We start from the raw sequence: 12,472 nt of genomic DNA on the forward strand, positions 1-12,472 counted from the left end.
GATCTCGGCTCACTGCAACCTCCACCTCCTGGGTTCAAGCAATTCTCCTGCCCCAGCCTCCCGAGTAACTGAGATTACAGGCGCACGCCACCACAAATTTTTTTTGTGTGTATTTTTAGTAGAGATGGGGTTTCACTACGTTGGCCAGGCTGGTCTCAAACTTCTGTCCTCAAGTGATCCACCCGCCACAACCTCCCAAGTGCTGGGATTACAGGCTTAAGCCACTGCGCCTGGCCAAGACTAGCTCTCTTATTGGGTCACTCTGGGGATCAGATGTACTAATAGATGAAAAATGCTTAGAGTAGAGTGAAGGAGCATGACTAGCCTACAGTATATGCTCCATGAGTGTTAGTGATTACTATTGTTGAAATGTTTGACTAGACTCTGGAGATGGTTCTGTTGTTTTCTGTGGTGACCATATTAGTCGCATTATTGATACGGACTTAATCCACTTTTCCCCAGATAATAAATAATAATTAATAAATTTCTAATAATAAAGCATTAGCTATTATTTTTACATGTTTTTATACTTTTTATAGTTTACAAAGTGTAAATCCTGCAATGTAGTAAGCGTGGTTGTCATCTCAATTTTTCTGAGGATCAGGAAGGATAAGTGACTGCTAGTAAGAGGCAGAATTAGGAACTGAGCTCATACCATCTGCATTGTAGGACTCTGCAGTTTCCATTTCTCCAGAGCTGTAGTATTTTCTTTGTTGTCCCCACTCTTTGGTCCCAGAGTCTCCCCACCAGTAGTATCCTCAGCCTAGATCAGTGTTTTTCAACCTCAGCACTATCTATAATTGGGGCCAGATAATTCTTTGTTGTGTAGGAGGGGCCTGTCCTGGGCATTGTGAGATGTTTTGTAGCATCCCTGGCCTCTACCTACTAGATGCCAGGAGCAGCCCCCAATTGTGACAGCCAGAAATGTCTCCTGATGTTGCAGAATGTCCCGTGAGAGACAAAATGGTGCTGGCTAAAAACCCCTACCCGGCCGGGTGCGGTGGCTCACGCCTGTAATCTCAGCACTTTGGGAGGCCAAGGAGGAGGATCACCTGAGGTCAGGAGTTCGAGACGAGCCTGGCTAACATGGTGAAACCCGGTTTCCACTAAAAATACAAAAAAATAGCCGGGCGTGGTGGCGCACATTTATTAATTCCAACTACTTGGGAGGCTGAGGCAGGAGAATCTCTTGATCCCGGGAGGCGGAGGTTGCAGTGAGCTGAGATCGTGCCATGGCATGGCTGCCCATGCCAGGTTGGGCAACAAGAGCAAAACTCCATCTCAGAAAAAAAACAAAAAAAACCCTGCCCTAGATTAAGGAAGGTGGAAGGGAAATGTGTTTGTGGGAGGAGGGGAAAAGTGGAGGTGAAGGTTGGCTATCATTTATTGAGCACTTACTGTGTGTCAGGCAAATTGCAAACGTTGTCTCTGGTTTACCAACAGAAATCAGGATTATCTGCATTTTCAGCAAAGAAGGACTAGGGCTCAGAGAAATAAAACTCTATGGCCATTTGTAAGTGGCAGAAGAGAGATTCAAATTCAGGTCCACCTGGCAGCAAAGCTTACCACTTTCCCGTCACCTCCTCCACACAATTTTATGCAGGCTCATGGCATTTTCTTTCTTTTTAGGAACCAAGAAAACCCACACAGTGAGGATTAAATCGGTTTCAAAGTTATTTTGAGGCTGTTCATATGGTGCATACCTGTAAGAAACAAAACAGAAAAATTTCTTTGCAGCAAAATTCTGAGTAAGCCAAGCATTATTTTATTGAGAAAAAGAGGGTTTTGGCTAAATTCTAGTGTAATCAATCATACTTGAACTTCCTTAGATCTTAGACGAGTGGCAAGGTATGTGACAAAGCATAATTTCATTGTTGTCTTCCAAGTATTTCCCTTTTGGTTTTCTGTCAGACTGGTACTAATGTGGTTTTCAAATAGATATATAGTACATAAGCAACGAATGTGTGTGTGGATATCTGAAATGAATGTGAATGTGTGTATCTGAAATGATATACATGTTAATGCTCCTGTTTTAATCTACTCTGTGTGCAGGAAATTCGATCAGATAAAATAATGTCATTTATTAGTGTGATAGTTCCTTTTGTAAATATTATGGGAATCCCGATAGAAGATAGAAGTGAAATATGGAACTGAGTGAGTTGATGTTGAGAAAAACTCTTCAGGGGACCTCAATATTGCAAAGCAATTAGCTTCGTCTACACATGACTCCCGAGACCTGTTCTAGCATTTGTTCACTTAATGCAGTTTCATTTCTGATGCCTCCACGTTCAGATCATTAATAAGCAGTTAGATGTGTCGGCCTGTTAAGTGACTGTAAGAGAGGATTTATTTGAACACTGGCATAAGCTATCTTAGTATGTCCTAGAAAATAGTGATAGAAAACGTGTTTAAAATGTCATGCAAAACAACCTATGAGATATTTTTGAATATATTCCTTGTGGTGAGAACACATATTATCAAAATGAAATGTTGGTGTTGAACGTGTCATGGTACCTTATGAAAATATGACAGCACTTCCCGTGGTAAAAGCCAGTCCCAGGAATAACTTCTATTGCTGGCCGTAAGCCCAGACAGGTGTAGCTACAACACAGAGTGATTAGTGGGTCCTGAGTCTTACTCTCTTTCTAAGGCCCAAACTATCTTGTCAAATTTAACCATATCTTGAATGGAATCAGTGTTTGGAAAGTTATAACCGTGAGTTAAAAGCAAGAGAATTACAAAGTTCTGCACTTCTCAAATTTGAGTAAGTAGGCCTGACCAGAGCAAACCCTGTGACCTTCCCAGACTAGGAAACAAATCAGGGAGATGGAAAATGAGAATTTAAAAAGCGGGGGGGGTTTGGTGAGATAATAGTAAACATATTAAGTCATTTACATCTCATTTATAAAGTCTGAAAGGATTGTTGTGTTTTAAATTTCCTAATTCTAAGGTGCTCAGTTCTCCCTCTCCTCATGGTATGGGGGAAGGAGTAAATGAACTAATGTCTATTAAGCACTTTGCATGGTCCCTAACACAGTAGGCGCTCAGTAAATAGTAATTACTATTAGTTCAGGCTCTTCTGGTACAACTTTGAACACACTGCCAACTAAAAGCCACTGCCAAAGTTCTGTGAGAGTGAACGAAGACTTCTGGTTTATGGTAAGCATAAACACACACAGCCTGAAGATCTTAATGCATTAAGTACTTAACAAGGTGGAGTATTTAGTAAGGACCTGTGCAAAGGGCAAGTTGACAGAGTTCTGATGCTAAATTAACTCAGCAAAATGGGATTACAGGAAGGTTAGGACAATAACAAGACATTTTTTATGTTAGGGTGTCTCAGACATCAATGTGCGTAAAAATGATCAAGGGGTCTTGTTAGGATGCCTATTCTGATTCTGCATTTCTGGGGTGGGGCCAAGATTCTGCTTTTTTTTTTTTTTTTTTTTTTTGAGACAGTTTCGCTCTTGCTGTGCAGGCTGGGGTGCAATGGCACGATCTCGGCTCACTGCAACCTCCGCCTCCCGGGTTCAAGCGATTCTCCTGCCTCAGCCTCCCGAGTAGCTGGGATTACAGGCATGCATCATCACGCCTAGCTAATTTTGTATTTTTAGTAGAGATGGGGTTTCTCCATGTTGGTCAGGCTGGTCTTGAACTCCCGACCTCAGGTGATCTTCCCACCTTGGATTAAGTGCTGGGATTACAGGCATGAGCCACTGTGCCCGGCCAAGATTCTGCATTTTAACAAGTTTCCAGGTGATGCTGATGCTGCTTGTCCAGGACCACACTTTGCTGAGCAAGGCTTTATTAAAGACTCAAAACCAAATTCTTTCCCCCAGCCCTTCCTTTTGTCTCCTGCCTATGTTCAGCACCTGTTTCATATGTGGTCAGAATAGCAGAGTTTCTCACAACCCAGCTCCAGCCCTCGGCCAGGATCCCTGGTGACCCCGGCAAACACACACTTCTTTAGGGTCACGGGCAGGTTACTGAGTCAAGACTGCCAAAGCCCAACAATGATATTTTCCTTCACTCCCCATCGTCCTCCCTCTCTAGCCACCCCAAACCCGGGACTAATCTTGGAGCTGCTTAATAATAACAAAGCCAGCAGCAGAGTAAGGCAAGATTTCAAAGCAGAGTTTTTCTTGTTTGGCAATTACCTAATTCAGGATGCGATTCACAGATTTGCAAAACCCATGTGTGTGGAAACCGTTTCTCCTGAAAGATGATTAAAAGCAGATCCTCTCCTGAAAAGGCGACATAAAAATTAAGTGAGTGACAGTATGGAGTCTTCCCGTGCCCCAAATGTTTGGATGCATATAAATTACATTTTACTAAAATGTCTACACACGAGTTCATACACGCATGCGCACACGCAAATAGCGGAGAATCTGGTTCTAATTACTTGTACTTTAGTTGAACTTTGGCGTTTCCTTTGAATCTCTCCCTAATGTATGTGAGCTGTAGGCTTTGCAGTCCTGCAGTGAATCCACAGAAAAAGGGAGAAAAAAATCCAGATAGGCTCTCTTTGGTGCCAACACAAATGAAGTCCAAACGAACATTTTGACCAAACGCAACTTTGCTCTTCTTCCTTAATTAGCTGAAATTACTCCCTTCCACTGGGATTCGGAGCTCTGGGCTCAAAATTCCCCTGGGGCCATGCAGGAAATGTCTTTTGCTTTATAACTCCTTTTTCTTTTAAAGCTCAGCTGCCCAGAGAGTGCATTAAAATACTGTCTTAATCACAGAAGGTTCTAGTAAAAAGGCTAGGCTTTCCTAATGCATGATGCCTGCCTGCCTGTAATCAGGCCCAACCTAAAATCCTGAAATCTGTCAACATCGTTTTAGCCAGCCGTAAATTAGCTCTCACAAAGAAAAAAAAAAAAGTATACTGAGCTCTCTTAAAAATGTTATCTGCTACTTAATCTAACCTTTAGAAAAATGCCAAGCATGTAAGGAATTGTGAAGGGAGCTATTGTCGAAGACTTTCTGTGTGTTTAAATGACACTCAGGTGTGTTGTAACAACAAGGACATTTATACTGTGTTTTCTCAGGTGAGTTAAATTCGTAAGTGCCAAGTCCTCTTAACAGGCAGCAATGTTAATTTCTTTTCTTTTGGGAATGAATCAACCCAAGAGCTGTGGCAGTGTTTAAGAAAGCTTCGTCAGTGGGAACTCGGGAATTCTGCTTTTGTACCATCCCAGTCGGTGGAGATTTTGTTTAGCTTTGTTTTTGTTTTGTCTGCAAACAACCTCTGAGTTTGAAGTCCTTTTAGAGGACTGTTTCTCAAAATGCAATCCGGAGACCTGTGCCCGTCCGCAAGGAGAGAAGTTCAGACATTGAGAGCAAGTGTTTCAAAACTTTTGGAGCAATTTGACAGGGTAATTTTATGTCCATTAAATCTAATTTTTTTTAAAGAGTTGGAGCTTGTGCTTTGGACGTCGTTGTTTTTCCTTAACTCCTATTTCCTGGAGATTCATTTGTATTGAATTTGATCAATCCATGAGGGATTGGGGGAAAGACTAAGAAATGGTGCTTCACCATTGATAGTCTGAAAAGCACGAATTTAAAGCAAATGTCCTTCTCCCTAACCTCAAGAATTCCCCTGCTGCAGGCCACACTTTGAGGAACATTGATTTAAAAGCAATGAGTCCCATGACTAATTTATTGTACAAGGAAGGGGATTCTAGCTTTGTTTTCCTTAGTGATAGTTATCTGTATGTTGTGGGGGTGGAGATGTCTAAAATAGGGGCTAGCAGCTTCCGAGGACAATGCTGCAGATTTGGTTCATTCTCATCTTCCCTGAGGCTCACTGTCTCCACTCATGTGCGCAGTTCAGAGCAGCCCTCTCAGCATCACTGGTGCTGACTGTGCTCTGGGCGGGGACCCACAGAGCCAAGCATCCATCTCACCCGAGTAGCAGAAGTTCCTCTGACTTGCCCATTCCCTGACGAAGCAGGGAAGCCCATCTGGTTAGCAGTTTGGATGCCACATTGGAGGCTGCTGCTTGTTGGGCATTCAAGCAGCAAACAGAACTGAGTAAGTCCATAAGTAGGCAAGGAAATAAATAAAAGCAGGAGACAAAAAGCAGATCCGAATTATTCCTCTAAGACTGCTTCTCCAAACTGAAATCACATCAGGATGGCTGCAGTGTAGTTGTTTTATTGAATGACACAAGCCTCTTTTCCCCCTGGGAAGTCTAAAAACTGCTTTTTTGGCCTGCCTGAGATCGCTGAATGAGCTAATACAGAACACATTGTCTGCTGAGCCGGCAGAGTTTTCAAGCAAAAATTTTATCATTCCATAGACTGATTGTGCTTGCCTGCAATAAGGAACAAAATGTTTGAGGCCTCTCAAGGGCATTTGATGAATCTAACTCTAATTTAAAGGGACTAATAGATTATTGATTTAAGCAGGATGACAGTGAACAGATCAATGGCTGAGCACTCTGTATCTGCCTTAAATACCAAAAATGACTGGTAAAAGGAAAGCCATGGGCTGTCCCCCTGCTTATTTCCCACTGACTTTCTTGGGGGGTGGAGGAAGGCAAAAAAAGAAAAGGACCTCTGATAAACTTTGCCAAAGTATGTTTTTGCTACCTTACCAAAAAGGCAAGAGATTGCATTAAAGTACAAATCTTTTATATTGATGCCATATCCTGGTTTCCTGGTTGTAATTCTAGAATTTGTCTTGGCATGTTCGCCTGAGGCTAGCTTTGGTGATCTGACAGACTATACCACTGATTTTTTTTTTTTTTTTTTTTTTTTTGCCTTGCATTGTTCTCAGTGTTATAGGCCACATAGAGGAAATAAAAGACCACTGACCATCAATTCTGAGGGTGATATTTGAATATATATATATATATATATATAGAGAGAGAGAGAGAGAGAGAGAGAGAGAGAGAGAGTCAAATACTTAATTTTTTACTACCAGTGGGAAAATTTTTCCAAAGATGATTTTTTTTGGGGATCGTACATAACGTTTTTCCCTTTCTGTTTTTGTGGCATTTGTAGCATTCAAATTATGTTCATTTATGGCATTTGCAGGATTCAAATTATAAAAACAGTAGAAAGAACCAATTTATCATTTAAAAACATAGCCCAGTCACTTCCTCTTGGAAGGCTCCCTTGATTTCTCCTGGGATAAATAAGGCCTATAGTTCACTCTGACATTATATTAGTGGTTCCCAAACTACTTCAGTTTGGATTCGCCTGGGAATACTTTTTATTATTTTTATTTTTTGTTTTGTTTTTCTGTTTTAAATCTTACAGTCAGCCAAAAGGGAATTTTTTTTAAAATGGCAATTCCTAGCTCCATTCTCAGACATTCTGGCATAATAGATCTGGGATACAACTTGGTCATTAGGACGTTAAAAAGCTCCCCAGCTGGTTCTAGTGTGCAGCCAAGTTTGGAACCCACTGTATTATCATTGTTGGTTTATTCTCTATTAGGCCAAATTTGTCAAGGATAAGGGATTATGTACTATCATTGCCCATAGCGTATAACACAATGCCTGGCATGTTATGTCACTCAGCCAAACAAATGATTGAACACATGAACAGTCTGAGAATCTATTGTACTCACATGAGAAAGTTCCTAGAATTATTGGTGAAATCACCACCACCTAAATAAAAGGCCAGGGCTCTCACTATTGATTACTTACAATAGAACATTTTCGTTCATGGCAACTGTTCAGGAAAAGCCTTCTGGATTCATTCATTTGTTATAAATGACTCTTATCCATAGGAAAAGATCCAATCTTTGTAAAATGCTTTGGGATCTTTAATGTCCAGTAGACTTCCCGTTTTTTGTGTGCTTTGCCCCAAGTTTCTTGGGTATTAAATTATGCACAATTTTGTTTCCTTTCTTTGGGAAGGTGAAATGCTGGACTCCCTTCAGTGCATGTGTTTGAAGTGGCATATTTATGGAAATTACTACCCACTTTTGAAATTCAGGGCATAGCTCTGACAGCTGATTCCAGCCCTACCAGAATTCTATTTACAACTTTCCTAGACAGGCCAGATTAGCTGTTCTACACGAACGAGTAGGACCTTAAAACACACCGCTCCCCACCTTCCTTCTGTGAAGAACTCAATGCGAGATTGATCATAGTGGTGATGACATGACTCTGTCAGTTGTTGAAGCACATGGATGGAAGTAGAAGCACACAAATCAAACCACTCCAAAAGGTTTGAGAGGCATCTGGGGAAGGGGTCACTTACGTTGATATCAGGGAGTGTAAATCTACACAACCTTTCTAGAAGTCAGTTTATCAACATGCATTAAAAACAAAATATTTTTAAAATAACAACCTTTGAACTGATAATTACACTTCAGTAATGTATTTGAAGGAAATAAAGATGTGGTGAGATTAGCTACAAAGTTGTTCATCACAATGGAATGTTTTCTGTGAAAAATATTTATCGACAAGGAAATAAATTGATGACATCATAGGTTAAACAAAGTCCTCAGCAGTGTCAGTATAATTCCACCTTAGTAGACAAACCCAAAACATTTATGTGCATAGAAAAAAATTCTGGAAGGTCGTACACAGTGAATTTCTCTGAGTGAAAAGATTGTGGGTGAGTGATTCTGTGTGTATTTTTCCTTAGATTTTTAATAGACAGTGATACATTGTTTTCTAATTTTAACAAGCAGTGTTTTCTTGTTAATTCGCTTTCAGTGAAGCTGATTAGTTCCGTGTGAAGAATGCTTTTGCATCTACTGCTTGATAGCTGATAAGCTTTAGTGACATCTCAGATACCAGCCCTTCTATAAAACAGTTGCTGCCACTGTGCCAACTTATTCAAAGCAAGGGCTTCCTATCTGCCAGAAATAATGTACTCAAGATTGATATCTTCATCCCAGATACCTTGGTTCTAACCAGTAAAGACTATAATAGATTTATCTACTAGGACCTGTACTACTCAAATGAATTCATTCCAAGATTCTTCTGAATTATGAAAATACTATAATTATAGTTGATTCTGTTCCAAAGGGCTAATTAATTACTTTTTTAAGGAAGCAAAGGAGTATAAGAGCTATTTGGTTTCTAATTTTATCATTTAACAACTTAGAGGGACTCTTAGTGCTCAAAATGAGGAAGAAAAAGGAAAAGGAAAAAGTTCATGTGCTAATTCAACAAATATTTATTGATTATCTGCCATGTGCCAGGACCTCTACTAGTCCTGGAACACAGATGTATACAATGCAGGTGAGTTTCTTTCCCTTATGAAACTCAATATTTAGAGTATAGGGGATGGCAGATGTAGAATATAAAATTATATACAAACATCTAAAATTTGAACACTGGTTAGGGTTTTATGGAAATAAAATAGTGAGACAGAGTGACCAGGAATGGAGAGGGGCATTTTAATGAGAGAAATCATCTCTGGGAAGGTAGCATTTGCTTTGTGATCTAAGAAACGAAAAACAACCAGATATTTGAAGGTCTGAGAATATCTAGAAAGGACAAATAGTTATCACAATAGCCTCAGTTGGTATGAGAGCTTGGCCTATTCAGAAGACAGAATAGATGCCAATTATATAGAACTCAATAAATTAGGGGACTCACTGAAGGAAATGATGCTGCTAAAATGCCGTGTGATGAAAAGTCTTGTAGAACATACTAAGGAGTTTGACTTTGATCTAATTGGTGACTATTGGAGGGCTTTAGATAGGCGAGTGAAACAGATGGATTTTAACATTTGAACAACTATCTTGACTGCTTGTTTGAAGAATAGACACTAGGTAGGAAGAAGGGGCATGAAGTGACCAATGAAGAAGCTATTGCAGCAGTTGTGAGAGGCGATGGTGGATTATTAGCATGGTGTGGTAGCAGGATAGTGATGTGGGGATGGATTAACAATAAGTTTAGTGGGTAGAGTTGACCTGACTTGCTAAAAGCTTGCCTGCAGGATAATCCAGTCAGGAGAATATCTACTCTGGGAGATTATAAGCAGTAGGGCAACTGGAAACTTTATATTCTGGGAAATACACTGTGTATTAAAAAGCAATTTGGAGACTAGAAGATTCTGGAACATTATTTAACCACTTTTAATTCTCCTTCCCGATTTCCATCTTATTTTATGAGCATATTTACCTGTGATAGAAGTACAGCCAGTTCTTGCTTTGATTCTGAGTACAATCCTGGAGAATTAGGGGTAGGAGAACACCCCGTTCTTATATTTTGTGAACTCCCATTTCCCATGGAATTTGGGTGGTTAGATAACAGGATGGAGGATTATTATTTTTTTAATCTAGAATAAAGAGTAACATGACTTAAAAGTGAATCGCACCACTCTGTGTCATCATTAGTTTTAACCTACTGCTTCTCAAATGTTAATTGTACATTTAGTCATCTGGGGATTTCATCAAAATGCAGATTCAGATTCCACAGGCCTGAGCTGGGACCTGATACTATTTTTCTAATAAGATCTTAAGTGATGCCGATGCATGTTGGCCCAAGGAGCCTTCTTTGAGTAGCAAGGATCTTACCCATATTGTTATTAATGAAGATCAGTTATGGCTGCATCATGCTAAAGACCCTCCCAGTACACTTGTTGAATGAATAATTTGGGCATTTTCTTCATTTGTCCAAAGGAAAATTTTAAAATTTTTATTTATTTATTTATTTATTTATTTATTTATTTTTGAGACGGAGTCTTGCTCTGTTGCCCAGGCTGGAGTTCAGTCGTACGATTTCAGCTCACTGCAACCTCTGCCTCCTGGGTTCAAGCGATTCTCCTGCCTCAGCCTCCTGAGTAGCTGGGATTACAGGCGCACACCACCACACCTTGCTAATTTTTGTATTTTTAGTAGAGATGGGGTTTCACCATGCTGGCCAGGCTGGTCTCAAACTCCTGACCTCAGGTGATCCCCCTGCCTCAGCCTCCCAAAGTGCTAGGATTACAGGTGTGAGCTACAAAGAAAATTTACTTTTGGTTAAGTGAGCAACAAGGTCAAGTCGTTTGAGATTCTACATGAATCAGAAGCTACTGGGGTTTGTAGTATGACTATCTGAATTTGTGTCTTGGCTCTACCACTGCTCTGCTGGTCTTAGTTAGACAAGTCACTTCCTTCCTTTGAGTTTCTGTTTCTGTTGTGGCTAAAATTGTGATAAAAACCATGGCCCTCACAGTTCTGTGTGAGCTGTGGACTGCAAGTGAGAGATGTATGAGACTGCTTTGTAAACCGTAGAGTACCACATCAATGTCAGTGTCACCACTGCTGGGCCTACAATGACAGCTGTTTTTATGAGCCCATTCTTGCTAGTGTTATTGCTGAATTTGGGGCAGAAGCATATGAATTCACTGTTGAAAAAAGTAATGAACTAAAATACATTTTCTCTTTTTTCTCCCTCTACCCCATCTCTATTATAGCAATTGAAACACAGAGCACCAGCTCTGAGGAACTCGTCCCAAGCCCCCCATCTCCACTTCCTCCCCCTCGAGTGTACAAACCCTGCTTCGTCTGCCAGGACAAATCATCAGGGTACCACTATGGGGTCAGCGCCTGTGAGGGATGTAAGGTGAGTATTCACACTTCTGTGCCTGATGAACTCTCATTCTCCATGTACTTTATGGAGGTGACCTACCCAGTTCCAAAAATGGGCTGGATGTGTAACATCACCTCCCATAAGTGTGGTGAATTCAGTTATATTCAGTGGTTTTTATTACTTCCTTATATATCTTTGGTTTAAAATTCAGAAACTTCTGCAAATGACTGATGAGGGTCAAAGGTTCTAAGGCCCTTAAATTACCCCCACATAATAATTCCTTTTAGATAATAAGAACTGGCTAGGCCAGGTGTGATGGCTCACGCCTGTAATCCCAGCACTTTGGGAGGCCAAGGTGCGCAATCACTTGAGGTTAGGAGTTTGAGGCCCGCCTGACCAACATGGCAAAACCTCATCTCTACTAAAAATACAAAAATTAGCCAGGCGTGAGTGGCTGGTACATCTAGTCCCAGCTACTCAGGAGGCTGAGACACGAGAATCACTTGAAACTGGGAAGCAGCGGTTGCAGCCAGCCAAGATCACACCACTGCACTCCAACCTGGACAACAGCGAGACTTTGTCTCAAAAACCAAACAAACAAAAAACAAAGAACTGGTTGGAAGAATCTTGAAAAGCATCGTTCTTTTTCTCTTTAGAACATGCCGTCTGGTGTCTGTAGTTTTATCTTATTTTTGAATATGACTGACAGTCCACTGAATCAACTTGCAGGGAATTCAAGGTTGAAACTGGGATTTGTCTGCTGGCTGTTTTCCTCAGCTCTGTGGCCTTTGAATTACAGTTTGATTTTCAGCCTGTAGGGACTTGCTACTGTATGTGTGTCATAAATTCAGGGGAGCTGGATTTAAAATTCCTGCCTACGGAATACTGGAGGCTGAACATGTGTCAGAGAGTAGTATATGGCTGCTTTGAATCAAGCAAGACAATTGTTTTCAAGTCCAACAGTCTTAATTGAGTGAA

The 12,472-nt window shown here is 40.7% G+C and overlaps 1 protein-coding gene across 10 annotated transcripts in view, besides 3 other annotated features; it reads left to right on the forward strand.

Moving 5' to 3' along the window:
• RARB (retinoic acid receptor beta) overlaps positions 1-12,472 on the forward strand; it is a 768,612-nt gene that overhangs the window by 620,494 nt on the left and 135,646 nt on the right. For 9 of the 10 annotated variants that reach the window (NR_110893.2, NR_110892.2, NM_001290216.3 and 6 more), the window contains one exon: positions 11,379-11,527. Coding sequence is in view for 5 of the 10 variants with exons in the window: in NM_001290216.3 (NP_001277145.1) it covers positions 11,379-11,527 (149 nt within the window). In the remaining 5 variants the exon portion in view is untranslated. Of the gene's footprint in view, positions 1-8,495; positions 8,580-11,378; positions 11,528-12,472 lie in introns of those variants that run through there. The other variant, NM_001290217.2, reaches the window with a different exon arrangement.
• Positions 601-1,101: an enhancer, noted in NCBI's record as "H3K4me1 hESC enhancer chr3:25491906-25492406 (GRCh37/hg19 assembly coordinates)". NCBI's record gives its function as "activates a minimal SCP1, AML or CMV promoter by ChIP-STARR-seq in naive H9 embryonic stem cells {active_cell/tissue: H9 hESC(naive)}" and the evidence as "EXISTENCE:reporter gene assay evidence [ECO:0000049][PMID:30033119]".
• Positions 4,682-5,306: an enhancer, noted in NCBI's record as "NANOG-H3K27ac hESC enhancer chr3:25495987-25496611 (GRCh37/hg19 assembly coordinates)". NCBI's record gives its function as "activates a minimal SCP1, AML or CMV promoter by ChIP-STARR-seq in naive H9 embryonic stem cells {active_cell/tissue: H9 hESC(naive)}" and the evidence as "EXISTENCE:reporter gene assay evidence [ECO:0000049][PMID:30033119]".
• Positions 5,405-5,945: an enhancer, noted in NCBI's record as "H3K27ac-H3K4me1 hESC enhancer chr3:25496710-25497250 (GRCh37/hg19 assembly coordinates)". NCBI's record gives its function as "activates a minimal SCP1, AML or CMV promoter by ChIP-STARR-seq in naive H9 embryonic stem cells {active_cell/tissue: H9 hESC(naive)}" and the evidence as "EXISTENCE:reporter gene assay evidence [ECO:0000049][PMID:30033119]".

This window comes from Homo sapiens, chromosome 3, assembly GCF_000001405.40.
Source record: "Homo sapiens chromosome 3, GRCh38.p14 Primary Assembly".
NCBI classification, from domain to species: Eukaryota; Metazoa; Chordata; class Mammalia; order Primates; family Hominidae; genus Homo; species Homo sapiens.